We start from the raw sequence: 22119 nt of genomic DNA, 5'->3' as shown, positions 1-22119 counted from the left end.
TGGAGGCTAATTTCCACCTGATACTGCAGAGAGGATCATCAGAGACTTCAATGAGTAATTATATGCCAATAAATAGGAAAGCTTAGATAAAATGGATACATTCTGGACACATACAACCTACTAAGATTGAACCATGGAAAATAATCCAAAACCTGAATAGGCCAATAACAAGTAATGAGATCGAAGCCATGATAAAAAGGTTCCCAGCAAAGAAAAGCCTGGGACCTGATGGCTTCACTGCTGAATTCTAACAAACACTTAAAGAACTAATACCAATCTTACTCAACCTATTTCAAAGAATAGAGGAGGAGGGAATACTCCCAAACTCATTCTATGAGGCCAGTATTACCCTGATACCAAATCCAGAAGAAGACATATAAAAAAAAAAAAGGAAAAAAAAAACCCACAGGCCAATATCTCTGATGAACATTGATGAAAAAAATCTTCAACAAAATACCAGCAAACCAAATTCAATAATCTATTAAAAAGATTATTCATAATAGCCCAGGGATGCAAACATGGTTTAACATACACACATCCACCAGTGTCATACATCATAGCAATAGAATGAAGGACAAAATCCATATGATCATTTCAATTGATATTGAAAAAGCATTTGATAAACATCCTTCATGATAAAAAAAAAACCCCTCAAAAAACTCAGGTTTTAGAGGGATTTTAAAAGGAACATATCTCAACACCATAAAAGTTATATATGACAGGCCCACAGCTAGTATCATACTGAATGAGGAACAACTGAAAACCCTTCCTCTAAGATCTGTAACAAGACAAGGATGCCCACTTTCACTAGCTATTAAACATAGCCTTGGAAGTCCTAGTTAGAGCAATCAGAGAAGAGAAAGAAATAAGGGGCATCCAAATTGGAAAGGAAGAAGTCAATTATTCTTGTTTGCTGATGATATGATCTTCTACTGGTACTGAGAAGCTATTAGAACTGATAAACCAATTCAGTAAATTTGAAGGATACAAAACCTACATACAAAAATTAGTAGCATTTTTATATGCCAACAGTGGACGATGTGAAAAAGAAATCAAAAAAAGGAATCCTATTTACAATACCCGCAAAGAAGATACCTAGGAATAGACATAACCAAAGTAGTGAAAGATCTCTACAATGAAAACTATAAAACATTGATATAAGAAATTGAAGAGGACACATACAAAAAAATGGAAAGATATTTTATGGTCATGGATTGTAAGAATATTGTTAAAATGTCCATACTACCCAAAGCAATCTACAAATTCAGTGCAACCCCTATGAAAAGATCAATGACATTCTTCATGGAAATAGAAAAAACTATCCAAAAATTTTTGTAGAACCACAAGACCCAGAATAGCCAAAGCCATCCTGAGCAAAAAGAACCAAGCTGGAGGAATCACATTACCTGACTTCAAATTATACTACAGAGCTATAGTAACCAAAAGAGCATGTTGCTGGCATAAAAACAGACACATAGACCAATGGAACAGAATAGAGAGCCCAGAAAAAAATCTGTACATTTACAGTGAACTTATTTTTGACAGTTTCCAAGAACATACATTGGGGAAAAGACAGTCTCTTTGATAAATATTACTGTAAAAACTGGATATTCATATGCAGAAAAATGAAACTAGAATGTATACCTCTTATCATATATAAAATTCAAATCAAAATGGATTAAAGCCATAGATGACCTCAAATTATGAAACTACTATAAGAAAAAAGAAACTCTCCAGGATATTGGATCGTGCAAAGACTTTGAGGAATACCCCAGAAGTACAGGCAACCAAAGCTGGAGAGCTGGGATCACATAAAGTTAAAAAGATTCTGCACATTAAAGAAAACAATCAGCCACATGAAAAGACAACCCACAGAATGGGGGAAAGTTTTTGCAAACTATCCATCTAATAAGGGATTAATAACTGTAATACATAAGGAACTCAAACAACTCCATAGGGAAAAAAATCTAATAATTTGATTTTAAAACAGGCAAAAGATCTGGATAGTCATTTCTCAAAAGAAGATATACAAATGGCAAACAGGTGTAGGAAATGGGCTCAAGATCATTGAGAAATGTAAATCACAACTCTGAGATATCATCTCACCTCAGTTAAAGTGGCTTTTAACCCAAAAGACAGGCAATAACAAATGCTAGCAAGGATGTGGAGAAAGGGGAACCCCCATACACTGTTGGTTGGAATGTATATTAGTACAGCCACTGTAGAGAACAGTATGGAGGAGTTTCAAAAAACTAAAAATAGAACTACCATATGATCCAGCTAGGTATCTCACTTCTAGGTATACAGGGACCAAATGGGAGGTCATTGGATCATGGGGGTTGTTTTCCCCATGCTGTTCTTGTGATAGTGAGGGAGTTCTCACAAGATCTGATGGTTTTCAAAGTGGCAGTTTCCCATGCTCGCTCTCTCCTGGTGCCATGTGAAGTAGGTCCTTACTTCCCCTTCTCCTTCCGCCATGATTGTAAGTTTTCTGACACCTCCCCAGCCATCCGGAACAGTGAGTCAATTAAACCCTTTTTCTTCATAAACTACCCAGTCTCCAGTAGTTCTTTATCACAGTGTGAAATCAGATTAATACAGGATTATTGCACTCTGTATGCCTGTATCAAAATACCTCATGTACTCCATAAATATATACAACTGTGCTGTACCCATAAAAAGTTTTTAAGTAATTTTTGACAACATATGTTTAGTAAATGTTATGAATTACTCTACCAGTAAATTTTTCAGCTGAAATGAAAATGATATTTTTAAAAGCCTTAAAATGTATCATTCAGTAATTTCAATTCTAGGAATTTATGTTAAATACATAAAAATATGGACAAAAGTTTTTGTACCAAGATGTTTATCAAATGATTATTTATAACAGAGAATACTGGAATCAATTGTAAATTTTGAACAATAGGAAATTAGTAAAATAAAATACTATATAACCCTAATAATGATAATGATGATCATGATAGAGAAAATTCCCATGAAAAAATAGGAAACGAAATCATCAACGAAGGTGATCTCCATACAAATAGATATTTATAAGTAAGACCTGGGAAAATGTATCCTTAAATTATGCTAATAAGTTTTTATTTTAAAATATTTGTTGAATAATTTTTCTCCTGAATTTTTCCATAGTTTTTAAATTTGCTAGAATGAAATATGTCAGTGCCATATTTTGACTATCATATGCCAAGTAACTGGCTTCATCATTAAAAATTTAAATTAGGCCAGGCGCGGTGGCTCACGCCTGTAATCCCAGCACTTTGGGGGGCCAAGGCAGGTGGATCACCTGAGGTCAGGAGTTCGAGACCAGCCTGGTCAACGTGGCGAAACCCTGTCTCTACTAAAAATACAAAAATTAGCCAGGCATGGTGGCACATGCCTGTAATCCCAGCTACTAGCGGGGGCTGAGGCAGGAGGATCGCTTGAACCTGGGAGGCAGAGGTTGCAGTGAGCCAAGATCGTGCCACTGCACTCCAGCCTGGGCAACAGAGCGAGACTCTGTCTCAAAAATAAACAAAAAAAATTAAATTATTATTTTTCCCTAAATAGAAAATATATAACCAATGCTTTGATGCCAGTTGACTTTTTTTTAGAAATTTAAAACCATGCCTTTTAGGAAGAATGAATAGTATTTAAATATCTTTGTTTAATTCATCCTTCCTCTGGTAGGCGCATTTTGAAGCCACCATTACACCATCTGTTTCAACAAGATACTCAAACCTGTGTCTCTACTCCTGTCCTCTCACTGTCTGTCTCAGTTGTGGCGTTAGTGAGTAAAAGTGTGTGTTTGCTTTCCCCTTATTGGCCTCTAATCATCAAAGCATCTTTTAGTGGGAAACCATTTATTATGCTTTTCTCTTTCAAAACCATGATTTATATCAAAACCATGATTCAGTGGAGATTTCTAGCATTGGTTGAAATCATAACCCTCTTCTCCATCTATACATCTTGCAATTTCAGCCACACCTGTAGTATGTCACATCTGAACTACAGTAGCTAGTTTACCTGCCTCTAGTTGCCCAATGTCAGCTCATTCTAAAGTAGTTGTTGGAATATATTTGGGGCATAATGTATATCCTTTCCTTTCCAGAGATCCTGCAGTGAATGACTTCGAGTTTCTTATGAAATTCCCATAATTAGTGAAAATTGAAAATCCCTTGGTTAAAAACTTCAGGGTCTTCATCTTAAATCTAGCTAACCTCCTGTATTAGTCTGATCTTGTGTTGCTGTAAAGAAATACCTGAGCCTGGGTAATTTACGAAGAAATTGGCTCACGGTTCTGCAGGCTATACAGGCATGATACCGGCATCTGCTTGGCTTTGGGGAGGCCTCAGGGAACTTTTACTCATGGCAGAAGGTGAAGCAGGCACAGGCACTTCACATGGCAAAAGCAGCAGCAAGAGCTGAGGGGAGGTGCCACACACTTAAACAACCAGATCTCCCTGGTTGCTCCCTCACTATTGCAAGGACGGCACCAAGCCATGAGGGATCCACCTCCATGACCCAACCACCTCCCAGCAGGCCCCATCTCCAACACTGGGGAGTACACTTCAACATGAGATTGGGGCATGGGAAAATACCCTAACTATATCATCTCCCTTTGGAACATGAAAGCTAATGATCTTGAACCACCTGAGGATTATGTTCGTGCCTTTGGCTCAAAATATATGGACCTGTTGAAAATATTTTTAAAATGTTTGCCCTTTCTTTTGCACTTACGTACATTGTATGTGACACAGAAATAAAATATAAAGTCGGTACTTGGTAAAGAGAAGGATGGCTAATTCATCAGATGGTCATGTTACACGAGGCCTTACTCCATGTTGGGACCATATTTTGAGAAATCTTTCTGGGCCACCTAACCCACAGATATGGAATTTTTGCCAACATTTCTTGATTCTTTCATCTCCCTAGAACCCTGCTGTTATCCTCAGTTATGGTCTTAACTGATATTCATCCTTCAATCCTGTGCTGCTTCAATTCATTCTCCAAACAGAGGCCCAAGTGATCTTTGAAAAAAAAAAAAATAAATCAAAGCTTGTCATCCTTCTCCTTTAAACTCCTGATTGCCTTCTGATTGTACTTAAAAAAAAAAAAAAAAAGAGTTTCAAATCCTGAGCATGGCCCTGGACCTCACTGTAATCGCTTCCCCCAGGCTCAGTGTACCTAAGCTGTGGGGTCTTCCTCCAGTTCTTCAGACACACCAAACTCTTTCTCACCTCCACACTTACTTGAGTCTGGAACATCATTCCCTGACTGCCCTCCCTGATCCTTCTCCTTACCTTCTGCTTTCTCATGCCCCACCAATACATTTTCGCCTGGCTGATTTCGTGGATTCATATTCAACATTCAAATATTGCCTTAACTGTCACCTCCCAGAGGGGTCTTATCTGAATCCTAAATCTAAACTTGGTTCTTCCTGTTATTACCTGTTTTTATAGCACTTACAGTTTTTATTATATCATTTATTTGTTTAATGCCTTTCTCTTCTGCAAGCCTGAAGGCTTTCTGACTGTAGACCCCAATGTCTTGCTTTCTCTTAGCCTAGCACATAGTAGGTGCCCAATAAATTATTGTGAATGAATGAATGAATGAGTGAAAGAAGGAAAAAAACCACAAGTACAGTAAATAAGTAGGAAGCGTTCATGGGAAGAAAGTACAGTTTTACTGTTTATCAAAGGAAAGTATATTAAACACGTATTTTAAATCTATTTTATTAGTAAAATTATTTAAAGTTATAGCTGAAAGAAGTGGAGAAGGACACATTCATATAATACATGAGGAGAAGGACCTTTTCTGGGTTCATTTTCATTTAGTAAATATTTATTAAATGAGTGAGAAGACGAATATAATCTAGAAAGCAGTCTAGCTAAATGTATTTTAAAACATCCAATTATTTTTATTGACCCAGTATTTTTTCATAAGAATTTGTCATAAGGAATAGTCCTAAATATGGAAAAGGTTATAAGTTTAAAGATATTTCTCACAGTGTTATGTATATGAGTAAAACATTGGGAAGCCACCTAAATGCCAATAAAATATGGCTGAGTAAAACATAGTATATCCACTAGATAGTATAAGAGTAACTCATAAGCTAAAGGTTAGGATAAATAATGACTTCAAAAATGTTTATAGCATAAGTTTAAGTTAAACACAAAGTTTTATAAATTCTATTCATGGGGGAAAAAGACTGGAAAGAAATATGTCATGTTGCTATAGCAATGGGTGATTTCTTCTTTTTTCCAAATTATCCTTAACATGCACATATTTTATTTTTACAGTGATTATAATTATATTAAATTGTGCATGTACAACATAGCTTGTATATTAAGATTTAATTTCAGCTTCAGTACGTTTAAATGAGCCTTGGTCCATACCTTGTGTAATCATTGAAATGCTGTGCCTTTTTTTCCTTAGGGTGACAGAACCTTTCTGGAAGGTTCCCACACTCGTGGGTTAGATCACTCATCCTCTTGGCAGGATCACAGTCGCTTCCTGTCTAGTCCAAGATTTTCATACGTGAACTGTAAGTAATGAAGTCTTGTACCCATTTTTAAATTAGATTTAAGAAAATGCAACACATGGGAAAATTAGTTTAAGGCCAGTATATGATAGTAATATTCATAAGTCTGAGAAAATCCTCATGAATCATACAAAAAATGTTCAAGGATATTCATAATAGTACACAGTTTACTAAAAATATGTAGAATCCCTCCTTTTTAGACTTTACGCTTCTCAGAATAACTTAAATAACCACCCAAGGTGAAAATCTTAATTAGGCAAATTTTTCGTTTGGAGATTGCCAGTAACTATGGATGAATGAGTAAAGAAAGTTATTTTATAATAAAGTTCAAATTATCAAAAAATTGAAGTTCTTTGCATATAAATGTTGAGAAATATGTAATCTTGTACAAAGAGTAAGAATACTATTACTGCTAGATTTCACTCTGTGAATCTTGATAAATGTCATCATCAATATCAACAATGTATGAGTCCATTGGCCCAAAATGCCATCTGCCACGATCTATCCCTGCCGTCTCCCTTCCTTCCTATATGTGGTCTTCAAGTTTCAGCTTATATGTAATTTCCTTAAAGAAGCTTCACAGTTTGAAGTGTAGTCTCTGTTATGAGCACCCACAGTGTGCTACAATTTTTCTTTATATCTTGAGGATAGGAGGAGTGCCTGTTTTGTTCACCACTGTTTCCTTGGCACTCTATATAGTAGTTGGCAAATAGTAAATACTCAACTAATATTCAATTAATATACATATAAGTTGTTTTTGTTAAGTCCACATTTATCTAAACTATTGGGATCCAAATGTTATTTAATGGATTTTTATTTAGGTAATAATTTTGCTCTTCAGTTTACCATGGGCCTGTAGGGTTATACATTAAATTTGATAATTCTGTCATTTAATATAGCTATATTGCTGTAAAATAAAATGCCAAAATAAGCCACTAGGAAGTAGGTCAAATCCAAAGGTGATAACTCTTATTTTTGCTGGTTTATATTCATGGATTCATTGAATAAATATTTATCGATTTCTGATAAGTGGTGTGGTTTTTCATTATTTCATGATTATTTTAGTCTAAATGCTGAGCATTTTGTCTTCCTGTCCTAATCATTTTCCCAAGTGATTTTGTATCTACATAAGCCAAGAACCACCCTTCAATATGGACCTCAAGTTGGTTATGGCACCTCAGAATTTGATATACACATAGGCCAAATTTTTTTTCTTTCATATTTAGCAATGGAAAACTTTCTCCAAGTCCTTCTAATATAAACAAGCATGGAGGTGGAAGTAGGGACTTCACACCATGAAACATCACAGTGTCCCAATTAGTCAGACATTCAAGAGCCTGGAGATAAACAGCATCATAATGTGAAAACAGATTGTTATACTGCTGTTACTTTTGCCATTATGACCTTCATAAGCCTTTCTAGAAATGCACCTAGAGGGAAGTGGTTAGAAGACATTAAATGGAAAACATCAAGATTTTGGAATTGTATTTAGTACTATGATAGGCAGTGAAAGAACCTGTATTTAGGTTTCAACACTAGCATTTCATGACCAATTGTGGTCATTTCTCTAAGATATATTTCTCACAAGCAACTATAGGTTTCTATAGATATACACTGGCTGAAAAGGAAATAAAGTTAAATAGGAAAATATATCATCAAGAGCATAATTTGAAAAAGAAAACATTTATTATAGTTTACATTGTAAAATCTAACTGAAAAATTTAACCTAAAAAGTAAAACTCTTCATTAGTTTAATTAATTAGTAAATTAATTAACTGATTAATCCATAGTCTTGTTTTACTATTTTTCTTGTGTACAAGTTTGTTTTATGATTTTCTTCCCAGACCTATCCCCATATTTTCAAAAATACTTTAAAAAATTTAATCCTAGCTACCTTATCATTAATTACTTTCAAGTAATTGAATTATAATTATTTCTAGAAAACATTCTTATTTGCTTTTCTGATAAGCCTTAAGTTTTCTGTTTTTAATAATGGGGCACATTAGCAGTGAGAAACATTAGGATTACCCTGAATACTTCATTTTTTGTAGCAAAATTTCAGCTCAGTTACAGAAATTGTCCTGTAATTTTTCTTTAATCTCCCTTTAAATTGAAGAATTAAAAAGAAGAGATGAGACCAACAAAGAGGAAAACAGAACTTACGGCAAATGAGTAATACAGGGAACAGAGGATGTTTTAAAGAATATCATTAATACCCTTTGAGAGATAAGAGAAAATATTAAATCCACTACATTTAACAAGAGCAAAATACTATGAAAAAGGGACACAGACTAAGCGGTGTCAGAATTTTAAAATATGATTGCCATAAAGAGTAAAGAAAACCAGAAAGGTGGAAAACAATGTGAAATAACCACAAAGAAAGGAGAAGAAAAAGAAAAAGAATGAGACAATAGAGAGAAAAGATAAAATTTTTAGAAAAGCAATTCAGGAGGGGCAATAGATGATTCATGTGCGTCTTGAGAGAACAGAGAAAACAGAACAAGAGGCCAGGAGTGGCCAGGCCCACCCAACAAACACCCACTGCACAGCAGCCATCCTGAGATTGTCCTTCACTCTTTTCCTATATTGATGCCCGTGTGCCCAGATCCTATACCTTCCTCTTTCTTGTTTCACTCTTTTCTTTTATGAGAGTAATGCAGGACAAGCAAGCCCCAAAATTGAGGCTTAGTCCTTGGCTTCACCCAGGGAAGAATTCAAGGGCAAGCCGGTGGTGTTAGCAGCAGTTTTTATTGAAGCGGCAGTGTACAGCAGCAGCAGAGGTCCTGCTCCTTGCAAAACAGGCCTACCCCATAGGCAGTGTGCCCAGAGCAGCAGCTCAGAAGCAGTTCTGCACTCACAGTTATAACCACTTTTAATTATATGCAAATTAAAGAGCAACTTATGCAGAAATTTCTGGGATGAGGGTGGTAACTTCCAGGTTGTTGGGTTTTCGCCAGGAAAATGGCGACAGGTGTGTCGTGTTGCCGTGGCAATGATAAACTGACAGGCACACTTGTGGACGTGTCTTATGGAGAGGTGCTTCTGCTTGAGACCCATTTTAGCTAGTCCTCAATTTGGGCAGGTGTCGAAGCCCTGCCTTTGGAGTCTAGTCCCACCTCCTACCTCAAGAGCACACCAAAGAAAAGGAGGTGGGAGGCCGAGGTGGGCGGATCGCGAGGTCTGGAGATCGAGACCATCCTGGCTAACACGGTGAAACCCCATCTCTACTAAAAACACAAAAAATAAGCCAGGCGTGGTGGCGGGTGCCTGTAGTCCCAGCTACCCGGGAGGCTGAGGCAAAAGAATCGCTTGAACCCGGGAGGCGGAGGTTGCAGTGAGCCAAGATCACGCCACTGCACTCCAGCCTGGGTGACAGAGCAAGACTCCATTACAAAAAAAAGAAAAAGAAAAAGAAAAGAAAGAAAGAAAAGGAGGTAAATATTTTTAGTGTTTGTATTTCTAAAAGTAGATTTATTCCATTATATAAAATTCTAGTTGAAAATGATTTTCTCTCTCTGAAGTCATTGAACAATTATCCTCCAAAATCCAATGTTGTTGTTGAAAAATCCTTCATTCGTAGATAAAGACTGTCACTCCTTTGAAGTCATCTTCTGCGCCTCCTTCCTACCCTACCACATCCTTTCTACTCCTCGCTCCAGGAACTTTTAGGATCTTCTCTTTCACCCCAGTGAGTTTGTGATGATGTGCCTCAGTGTGGGTCTTGTTTTATTTATTCTTCTAGCTACTTTTTATCTGGACACTCATGTTTTTCAATTCTGCCACACTGAAGGAAGAAAGGAAAGATTCTATCCAGAAAATTTGCAGGAAACAAACAAAAAGCTAATAGATATCTGATACGATTGAACACTTAAAAAAAAAAAGACTACTAGTGGACATATGGCAGATCTAACTGAGCACTTAGAAGCAAGATGGTCACAGAGAAAGAGCAAATAAAAAGAAATAAAATTAAAACAAGAGTCAATTAATAAACCCAGGAGGAAAAAATGAACAAGAAGAGAAATGTCATAGTATCCTTACTATGTTTTCATGAGCCATATTTAGTCATAATAATGTAAACAGTCATATAACTAAAAGCTCATATGTAACTATATTGGGAGTATGGGGTGAGGAGAAGGGGGTGGGTGTGGATAATGTCTAAAAATATAAATCAGAAAATAGCAATATAGGCTTCTCCATGTTTTACAAAAATGAAATAAATACAGAAAATAAAACTGGAAGAGGTGATCATAGCTGACTCTGGGGAGTGGGATTGTGGAATTCAGAGAGGTAGGACAAGAAACTCCTGTTTTTCTATGTAACCCTTTGGTATTATTTGATATGTGTATATACACTGGCTAAAAATGATTCTTACAAAGACAAGTGTTACTGAGAAAACCCCAGCTTTAATGTCTGACTAGTAAATGTCTAATTTTTTTGTTAAGTCTCAGGTGGAACATGAAAGCTGGGGTTTGGAGTTTGGAGCAGTTTAGATCTGTATAGAGATATAGGGAGTGGATAGTCATAGGTCCTTAGGCAGACATGAGTTTCTGGGCCCACAGAACAGTCAGCTCCTTACTCTAGTCAGAATTTGTACTGAGTGAGGCCCTTTCGTTGAAGCTGTAGATGCTAAGGCATTCATTCTGCTGACTTAGATGCCCTGTCAAACTGTGACCAAACTAAAGCATAGAATCATTGACCGTGGAAAAAACAAAGGAAATGGGAAAATACTGCATAATTTGTGGTCTCTGAAGTGATCCAGCATTAATGAAAGTTTGTTTTAAGAAGTAATTTATGTCAGCTTTGTGTAGTTCAGGTCAATTCAAGAAAAGGTAGATTCCTTCTGCCAGGAAGAAGGGAAGAAATGTATAAATTGTAAGTTTATATTGCCATTGGAAATAGGAACACAGAAATCCATTATTTAAAGGCATGATCACTACCAAATTTATCCTGGCCTGCTGGAAGTTATGGCCGTGAGTCAGGACACTCTTTTAGAAGACTTGGATTCCATTACCTTCAGCCTGTAGACAGTGGGGGCTTAGTAAGGGACTCATAATGTCAGCTTTTGAAACTGTCATTTTTGCTTTTCAAAAGTGGCAACTGACCACTAGTCACTATGTATAGCTCCTTTTAGACTAAAGGAACACAACTCCAGGATACAGCCATCACATCCCAGGACTGGGACCAGACCAGATTTCACTGAGGTCCATAGTAATCTGATGACTTCTAGAAATCTCTAGTTTTTTAAGACTAAAATGTTTCATCTTTGTGGAGTTGGTGTCTCCAAACCAGATTTTAAAAATAAATGCAGATTGTAAATTTCCTGTAAATCTAAAACTGTTTGAAAACATAATGTTTGTTAAAATAAATAAGCCCAAAAGGAAGGAATTGTTATTCTTCATGGGGAAAATATGTTATCTAAGGATTAGTATAGGAGTTGAAAGTGAATCTTACAGATAATTTGATATTCTTAGAAAAGCAGATTAATGAAAGATGCTTAAAAATACTATTTCACTTTCTTACCTCAGTTTACATTGCTATAAAAAGAAAAGTTAGTATTCTCACTTTGTGTTTTGAGGTGCCTCTAATGGTAGTTTAAGTCCGTGGGGTGAAAAATAATTTATCCACAGCAAGAATAGCACACTATTTTCACTTCTGTGTTATACTTCAAGGTCTACCCGGCTAACTGTGAAAAGATGCTTCATATGTAACCTGTCCTCAGCCTTATAGAGTAAAATGCCAAAGATTAATGGCAATGAAAACACTAGGACACTGATAAAGGCAATAAAATTGTTTCTTGTCCATTAAAGGATTTAATTCTATGAAAGTGCAGTCTCTCTGTCTCTCTCATTTTACAGGTTTATTTTATGTGATTACAGATTTATTTTATGTGACAGTGGTTCAGGTATTTTTTACTGATCGGTTAAACGCCGGATATTTTTAAATAATTGAATTCTGGTTTTTGCAAGTTGACAAGGTACTCTCTAGAGGCGCTCCAGAAACCAGCTAGAAAATCCCCAGTTGGCTGTCATCTTAAAATCCCTCACCTATATTCAGTTGTTCAACCAGTATTTACTAGGAGGCTGTGTACCATGTCCAGTGTTCAGTTCTGGAGTATACAGCAGTGAACAGGACAGGCAAGGTGATGTCATGGAGAAACAAGTAGCGAGCAAGTAAACAAATCATTTAAAATGGTGATTGGTGCTATAAAGGTGAAATGATAGAAGGTACCAGGAACAGGAGCACTCCTTTAGATTGGTGATCAGGATCTGCCTCCCTGAGGAGGTTACAGCTGAAACCTGAATGGCAAGAAGCAGCAGCTGAGTTGAAATTGGATGGGAAGCATCTTCCTGATAGTAGGGGCAAAAAGTACAAAAGCTCCAGAGAAGAAAGGGCCATGGTCTCCTAGAGATACGGGCTACTGAGCGAGTGAGTGAGAGGGTGCAGCCACAGTCAGATGTGTGGATTTTATTCTGAGTTCACTGGGCGACCATTAAGGGCAGGATGAGGGAGTCATGCAGGAGAATGACGTAATTTGATTGACTTTTCCGAAAGGTAACTGTGGTTGTGGTGTGGAGAAAGGATCGTAAGGGAGCAAGAAGAAAACAGAAAGGGAGACAATGGTGACTTGGGGGCTGATGAGAGTAATGGGGATGGTGTGAATCAGGACTCAGGTGAAATTGATAGGGAGAGTCATTAGAGCTCGCTCTTAAACTGAATGGATGGATCAGACAGGACAAAGGAAGAGAGGAACCACGGTTTGAGAAACTGGGCAGACGGGTATATCATTTTTCAAGTTGGAGAAGAGTAAGGAATGAGCAGGCATCAGAGAGTAGAGATAAGGAGAGAAGATTTCACACAGACAGTTGGATATAGGCATCTATAGCTCAGACGAGGAGTAGGAGATAGTAAAAGAACAGTAAACACAAACTCCAGGTCTACTTTCAATAGACTAGAAGTTGTAATAAAGAGGATTCCATAAAAAGGAGCCCTTAAGATTTCTGCCTCTAAAATTCTTTGCGAGTGTGCAAGTGTGTGTGCGTGTGCACGTGCACACCGGTGTGGTTTATATCATTGTATCCTGACGAAGCACACATTTTTTACTCTCAGGTATTCTTCAAATAAAATAAAAAGTTTAATTCTCGTGTTTTTTTTAAATGTCATAAATTGAGTGTATTTATTCTTAGCTTGGAGGTCTGTTAGTCCATGTGAAGTTTAATTATAGAAAACTCGATCAAATACCATGATACATTAACTACCTTCTGCAAAATTAATTTTTTAGGCCAGTTTTATATTCACCTAGGTTTATTTTTCTTTTTCTTCTTACCTTGCCAGCATTTACCAAAAGAACTGTTGCTCCAGATTCAGCTTCAAACAAGGAAGATGCCACAATGAATGGAACAAGTTCACAACCCAAAAAAGAGGAATATGGGAGCTAAAAAAGCAAATGTAATTTGTTATTTTACATGAGTATGTTACAAATAATAACATCTCTATTCTTACAGCAATTTGGCCCAGATTATCTAACAGACATACCTGCAGCTTTGGCTCTTTGGTATTGCCAAACATTGACAAAAGTGACAATACTGTTGGTCCTTGTGAATGGTAAACCAATCCAAATAATATCAGATCATGAATGATGTGCAGCTAATTTATTTGCAACTTATACTAGCACAGAAAGAATGATATTTTTTCACTTTGTATTTTCCTTTTTCAAGTGTGGTCAGTCACATTTTCCCAACCAAAATTTGGATTTCTAATTGAGGCCTTTTAAAAATTACTGGCTAAAAAGAAGGAAAATGAGTTTCCCTTGAGGCAAAAGTTGCCAGCACTTTAGATTCAGGGAGCATTTATATACAACTGATTTTTTGAAAAATTTTCTCCCTAATAAATTATCATGTGTTATAACATGTGGAGATGTGCATATATAACATTAGACAGTCCACTTTATAAATGCTCAGGACTTTTATATCTATCATCTTAACAGTCCACAACTGCATACCGTAGCTGAAAATTATTTCCAATCATCCATTTTTAATAGCAATAAAGAATTCATAAATGATATCTGAACTGTAGAGCACTGTAAAGAATTCATAGCACAATTTATTTATTTGTCTTTTTGTGGCCAAATATCCTACTGTGATCACTTCAGTCATATCCTGGACCGTCTTTGGTTTACTGTGACTAAAATCATAGCACCAAACTCCTTTGTCCATGAGATTTATATATAATCTTGTATAATTTGGTCCTATCTGCTTCTACCATCCCAACTTTTTTCATCAAAGTGTCTAAGAACGTATTCCCTTTACACGCTGATCTCCTAGTGGAGAAGGATTTATATTAAATGCTAAGTAATAGTAAACTTTCAGGAACTGAATCCTATTGGGTCATGGATTCTGCATAGACAAGGGCAATAAAGCAATACCTTTGTAATATGCATTACATTTTGTGTTTGTTAAAGTACACTTGCTCATTAAGAGTTCTCACATTTCATAAAGATGCTTCCGCTCAAGGTATGTTGTCCTAACTTACCATATTTGATGGTACTGAAGAAAAAAATGGCAGCCTCTTTCCATGAACCTGAATGCAACTCTTCCTTTAGAACATGAAGATATCCAAAAATTGCGTAACACAAGCTATGTAACCTGAGAGTATAGCTATGCATTTTTATCATGTATGCATTTCAAAAATCTTTTATCGAGTGCTTACTATATGCCAGTCATTGTGCTAGGAGGAAAAAATGAGATACAAAAACAGGTATGCATGTCGCAAAGTTTGTTTGGCATCAGGAATTACATGAAAACAGGAGTGATTTGTTCAGGCTAGCTGGAGAAATTTGGGGTTAGACAACAGATTTGGTTTTCTTCTGTCTAACTTCAGGAATTCTCAGAGCAATGTAATGTATTAATGAGCATTATGAGGATATATTGGGAGTATCCCGTGTGGTGTGACTCACAGTCCTGGTGATCCATATAAACTATATCACTCTATGGTAATATTTAAAGTATTGAGAATGTATTTCCATTGATGGTTTGACCAACATCAAAGTATTTTATCTCCTTCGTCCTAAATAACCAGCAGAGAAGAAAATATGAGGGAAAATCAACAGGTTTTATTTAAATCCTATGGATAAATGTTAGTTAAATAACTTTTTCTTTTATGTATTAGTAGGGCCTTCATGCATCCATTCTCTTCAATAAGAACTGATCTAAACCATTATTAGTGCATCTATGGTCATTTAAAAAAAATTGCACCAAACCAATTAGACCTGAAAATGTAAAGTAACTCAAATTATTTACTTGAGAAATGCTTGAAAACATAGTAGCCAGTGATTTTATAACAGACTGGAGAGGAATCTTATGAAGTAACTTTTTAAATCTAAAAAAAAAAGCCATTATATCATGTTATTGAATGCTCTGTGCTACTGTTGGATGAATGAAGGTGTCTGACTTAAATATGGAACACACTAGAACTTCAAAGGCAAAGTCAACTTTTTGTGAACAACAATTTTGTCAAAATTCCTTGGCCTCCTGTTTATATAGAATTAAATCCAGGGACCTGTCTCCTCTGAGGATTTTTCCTATCTTGCAGTTACCCTACCCTTAAGTTGGAAATCAAAAAGAATGCTAAGGAAACATTAATAGCTTGATTTGTGCATTTTAAAGCCAACAACTTCTTTCCTTTACTCACCCCTTTGGCAGGGTAGCCTCAATTACATGTGATATCAGCCCTGTTTGAATAGTAGCTGGTCCACCATATTGCTTGTAGCACTGGGACATTGGGAAGGATAAACTTTATTCTGCAGTAAGCCTGGTCCAATACTTAATTTGAAGGTTGACCTTTTTGGTTTAATAATTTTGATTCTTCTGGCCATCTTTCTCCCTAAACACACTAAACTTCCGTTGAAGTTGCTGAAGGCTACAGGGGGAGAAACACAGCTGGGAGAAATCTGGCTCAATGTTTTTCCCATTGGCTAAGGTCATATTATTTCTTTGACTAGTGTCTGACTGGAAGGTTGAAAACCAGTTGGTTATGTAACGTTTTATGCACCCAGTTTCCCAGAACCACTAACTTTTCTTATTGTTATAGTTTACCTACCTATTTTTACTAATAAAGAGCTAAAATCTATAGCTTAATAAAACAGTATGCATACAGCATTTAAAGTTTACATGTATAAAAAATGCCTACCTACTTAACTAAGAAAATGAACCTACTTTTCTTCATTTTTCTCCTTTCAAGTATGGCAAATGCATTTTTCATTTTGAGTCTCAGTTCAGTGATATGCAAAGTACATGTAGAGCCATTTAGTAGTTGTTAACATTTTCTCTAATCTGTATTGAATTTTGTAGTTAGATAACACATTGTGTTTAAAATGGGACCAAATTCTTACATATAAGGAGATGGCACATTTACTTAGCAAACTCTTTTTTTAGGAAGAGATAAATACCTCAAATTGTTTTACTCAGGATTTGTTCTTACTCTAAATGCAACTACACATCCTATGGTAGCCAAGAATGTGAATGATCTTTGAGTAATTTTCCAAGAGTCTTACACCCCCTCCCCAGACAAACTGTTCCAGTGTTTTCTCTCAATTTAAAACAAAACAGAAAATTTGTGATTTTCATGGCCTTCAAATGAGGAAGCTGTTCTCACGAAAGCATCTGGTTTTCTTGGATCAAAACTAAATTATGAACCTTAGCTGGAAAGGAAATTTTGGAAAGTTTGTATATAAAGGCATTTCATGCACCAAAATTTGATATGAAAATAGTTCCATCTTTCAGCTTTTAAGTTCTCAAATGTTTAGCAATAGAAACATATCAACTTATCCCTATTTGACAAAAGAAATTTAAACCACGAAAGATTCCATTTAGTTTCATTTCCTTACAAAACACGACACATCTAATTTAAGGCTGGAAGAAATGCTTACATGGAAAAGCAGAACTTTAGATTCCAAGCCCCCAAGCAAATTTCAGAAAAGTCACCGTAGCTTTTGATTAGTAACAAAGTAAACCAATCTGCTCTTTGGTGAAACCAGCCGCACCTTCTAGTTCTAACCTCATCTGGCCCTCATCTGCCCCTATTGGCTTCTCCTGCTATAGCTATGCCTATGACCATATCCTACCTAAATTCAAGCCCAGCACAAGTCACCCTTAGTGTTTTACCAGGATAGCCCCTATTGTTGACCGCTGAAGTCTAGTAAGTGTTCGACCCACACTGTAAGGGCCGAGTCTAGGGTTTGTAGCCCCTGCATTTCTTTTCAGGGGCAGCCAATTAGGAAATGATTTATATTGCATATGTCTTTGGCCATTCTTATGGCTAAAACCCTAGGGATACTTCTGTGGTTGGGCATCTTTTCTTCTCTAACATAGCTGTATTCTAACGTGGGTGCAAAGCCCTGTGATGATTGTGGATGTGAACTTGACCTTGCTCTCTACAGGAATATAGTGGATTTCTAAACATAGCTACATGTTAGCTTCCTTTCAGGAAGATGTTTGAAACAATATATCATCTGATGGCCTCCAGCTTTTACAATGTAGAACCTAATGTCTTTGAGCACATAAATGAGAATGTTGGGGGTGGGAAATGCTACTGTAGTCAAAACAGAGCCTTGCAATATTTATTACCTGTACTTACAAGGATAACTTGCAATGTTTCAGGAAACTGAAGTTACACAATTGCCAATTGCCATTCTCTGGACGAATGCTCTCTTTTTCTCAAACAGGCATATGCTAGACTGTCCTGCAAAGTCTATCTTTTGTAGCCCCATAGGACCCCACAACTTGTCGCCCTCTCATTTTTTATTCTTCTAGTGAAGCAGTTTGACTGGCATTACTTAAATAAAATTAAAGTTACAATTTATCCTTAGATATTGGAGCTCTGTGTCATCTTAGCTGTATACTTAATTGGAAATAAAGATCAGAATACTGGCTTGAAGCAATATATATATATTTTTAAAAGAAAACTAATGGATACTAAACTACCAACAATTCAGATGTTACAATCTAAAAGTAAAAAAATATTCTGAGGGAAAGTAGGATAAATGTTCCTTAGTCACTAGCTTACAATCTTCTTTATATAATGATTTAATATTTTCTTAAAATCATACTTGCTTAAAAAAATGCCAACTTTAATTTTGATAATATGAGGTTTTCCATTAAATTACACAGTTTCCTTTTGTTTTTTTCTTATAAATTTTTAAATTGAGAGTCTGGTGTACTTGTGAATCATTTGAAGCCACCAAGCATTCAAATGGCTTTCAAAAGTACAAGACACTTCACCAATAATGTGAAAATTTGTACTTCGAAACAGTACATCTCTTTGTCCTTGAGATACTATATTTCTATTGGAAATATTTCATCTCTCCCAGTCTCTCTCTCTTTGATATCCTTCTCTGGTATCCAGTCCTCTCCTCAGTGATCTTTAGAAGCAACTTTCTGTCCTTTATTAGGGCCAGCCTGTGGGCTAGAGTCGTGCTCACTTGTCCTGTGCATGTATTTTAAGATAACAGGATAGTTGCAAGCGGAGTTAGTGAGATTAATACATGAAACACTTTTGTTATTTTTCTTAAGGTGTGACCTGGTCTATTAACCAGGTGTGAAAGGCTTCTCTTGGTAAAATGAGATCATTATTCTTCATCCTTGTGTGATAATACACAGCTATTTTTAATACAGTATTTATATGTACTTCATATATCAGAGAACCTATTCATATCACCTTCATCACCTTATAGCCAAAAGAGCAGTTCCCAAAATGTGTGTCCAGTTGCACATCTGTTTTAAAATTTCAATTTCAAATATATCCCCTTTACAAGCTTTTTTCCCCCTTTTCTTCTTAGCTCTTGAAGCCAGCTATTATCAGATCATACTGCATAACTCTTATTCAGTGTTATCCCTAGGGTAGTGGTTATGCTAGTTTAGATTTTGTTTGTCCATTGTTGCTCAGCACTTAGCTGGATAAGGGAATGAAGGATGGCAGGAGTTCTGTAAAATGATATGAACACAGAGGAAGCTGGGTTGCCTTTAATAACACACATTTTAAACTGTTTACTGGAAGGAAAAAACTGTGGTAGCACTTCATCCTTTATGTGATGCAGGGTCCTGGAAAGAAGCATTGTGAGAAGTCCTGTTGAACTTGATGTTCACTATAAAGTCACATTTCTGATGAAAGTTGCAGTAATCCTTCATGTTCTTTATAGACTGCTGGCTAGCAGTTTGGGTCTGGGTGCAGAGTGATCGGCTTTCTGATGTTTTTCAGCCGGGGTGCCCTGTGCTTGTCTGTCATTTTGGATTTTCATTTTATTTATGCTGTCATTAATTCCACTGTGAGTGAAGATACAGGCTTGATTTATAATACTTAGCATATTTGAAACTTCCCATCATAATGAACCCCAAGCTGTTAGTTACCAGAAGTGAAACAGTGATGGGTAGCAAAGCCATCTAACACGGTGGCATTAAAAGAGGTTTGGAGAAACCTAGGGACTTTTTCTTTCTTTCTTTTTCCCCCCCTCTGGCCTGAGTAAAATAGATGCAACAGTTCTAACGAGGCACTTCCTGCCCAGAGTCACTGGCAGAGCAGCCTCCGCCCAACAGCTGCAGCTTGAGAGACCTCATGCTGCTGGCCAAGGTTCATTCTGTGCTTTGACCAAGACCACAGCCAATAAAGCCAGTGTGTACCGTGGAAAGAGTTTCCCATTTTTTTCCACTGGAGAAGTCTTTTGTGAGGTTAGTTTGACTGTTCCAAATTAACAGTGGTGGTCATTGCTCATTTCTTAATTTTAAATGCATGTAAACTCATGGATTAGATTCCACTGAGGGTAAATCATAGTTTTGTGAGGAAGATACGTATCCTTTTGTTCAACGATTCCTGAAAGCAATGGTTCACAAAGGGTGATCTCAAAACCTGCAGCAGCAGTATTATCTGGGTGCTTGTTAGAATTACATATTCTCTAGCTATCCCCAGACCTATCCATTCAGAAACTTTGGTGATGGCGCCAACGATCTGTGTTACAACAAGTCCTCCAGATGATTGTGATCAATGGTCAAATTCAAGAACCCTGCCTTGACATTCATTTTATAATAGCCTTCTCTGAGTTTTAGTGCCTATCCCAAAACAAAAATATGAAAGTGGCTATTTTCCAGGTGAAGTACTAGAGTATTTTTTTTTAACTTGGTTTCCAATATCATGTGTTCTCCCAGGTATCCGAGCTGTGATTCAGTCCTGAGGCTCACCCAAGTGGAGGTCTTAAAGCCATTTCCAAAGATGCTTGATTAACTACTAAAGGTTACTTCCCACCTCCTCCTTCTAACAGACTATGCCAGGACTCTGCCCATTCATCAGGATCATCATCAAGACATCCAATTAAATCAGGGCCTATAGTATAGTTCTTCTGTTTGGCTTGAAGGACAGAAGTAGTATTTGATTATAAAAGTTGCAAATGTCTTTAGAGTCAAGTTGTAATTCTGTTTTCTCTCACTCCCAGGAACTTCAGAGCAACCTGATTTGGGGCATTGATTCCACATTAACATTTCACATGCAATTTCATTTTTTCTTCTCTATACCAGTGGCTCACAGTCAACCACTGTGTTTCAGAGTAACATTTCCATATTTTGACATTGTCATATGAAGGGAGATTTTAATTTGATGATTCCTTGACATTTCAATCTCTTCCAGCTTTACCTCAATGTCGACATCGAGATCAGGGATTTTTTCTACCTTTCCATCTTGTTGTCCCTGAAAGACTGATAACTGATAGCCACATATGATTCATCTTGGCCTTTTATCTTACAGTGGTACCCCCCTTAAATATAATTGATAATAAGAAATATTTGTTTGAAATCAAGTTGATGCCCCTCCCCCTTATTGTTTAGGAATGGACTAAATGAAAACCTACCCAGAATTTTCCTATTCTAAAATGTCTAAATATTTTCAAGAACTCCTCTTGATATCTGACAATCTAAATAATTCACTCCGTCATACTCAGAGAAGGTGTTTCTTTTTTTTTTTTTTTTTTGGTGATAAAACCTTTTATGTCAAATGTCAGATACAAAGAAATACATACTGAATCCCTACAAGATACCCTGGTCAGGAGGTGGTAAGTGTGGTAAATGCTCCTAAACAATTGTCTTTTTCCACTTCCACTGGAGATGTCACACCCCGCTCTGATTGTTGGTCACATCCTACTCTGATGCTTTAAGGAGACGAGAGAGCAGCTTCTTATCTGGCTGATTCACTTTCTCCTCAGTCACATTCGAAGAGGCCACATGTGGGTGGTATTCTTGAATTTTAATGAAAGCTAGCACCAATTCCTTTAGAGCAGCAAATTGAGCCAAATCATGATACTGAGGCAATAGGGTATGAAGATCCCAGACTCTGGGGGAGTCTGCTGGGGTTGAGTCCAGCTTCTACCTTTAGAGACTTTTTTACCTTGCTGCTTAATCTCCTCATCAGGAAAAAAGAAATTATAATATTACCTACCTCAGAGTGCTCATTAGAGTTAACCCATAGAGAGTGTTCAGAAGGGTGTGTGCCAGTTAGAAGGGGCTCTGTGTTATTATCCTTTTCGTAATGCAATTCTTGCAATT

General features: G+C 36.7%; 1 protein-coding gene across 13 annotated transcripts in view; it reads left to right on the top strand.

Annotated features, from left to right (window-relative positions):
- The window catches only part of CEP128 (centrosomal protein 128), a 482534-nt gene that overhangs the window by 448047 nt on the left and 12368 nt on the right, over nucleotides 1–22119 (top strand). For 10 of the 13 annotated variants that reach the window (NR_157142.2, XM_047431021.1, XM_047431022.1 and 7 more), the window contains 2 exons: nucleotides 6436–6544; nucleotides 13874–14977. Coding sequence is in view for 12 of the 13 variants with exons in the window: in XM_047431021.1 (XP_047286977.1) it covers nucleotides 6436–6544; nucleotides 13874–13977 (213 nt within the window). In the remaining variant the exon portion in view is untranslated. Of the gene's footprint in view, nucleotides 1–6435; nucleotides 6545–13873; nucleotides 14978–22119 lie in introns of those variants that run through there. The other 3 variants (XM_047431023.1, XM_011536493.3, XM_011536491.3) reach the window with 2 other exon arrangements.

Source organism: Homo sapiens, chromosome 14 (assembly GCF_000001405.40).
Source record: "Homo sapiens chromosome 14, GRCh38.p14 Primary Assembly".
In the NCBI taxonomy this organism is placed as follows: domain Eukaryota; kingdom Metazoa; phylum Chordata; class Mammalia; order Primates; family Hominidae; genus Homo; species Homo sapiens.
Note: the sequence above shows the minus strand (reverse complement) of the source record. Positions and strands in the feature narration are given on the sequence as shown.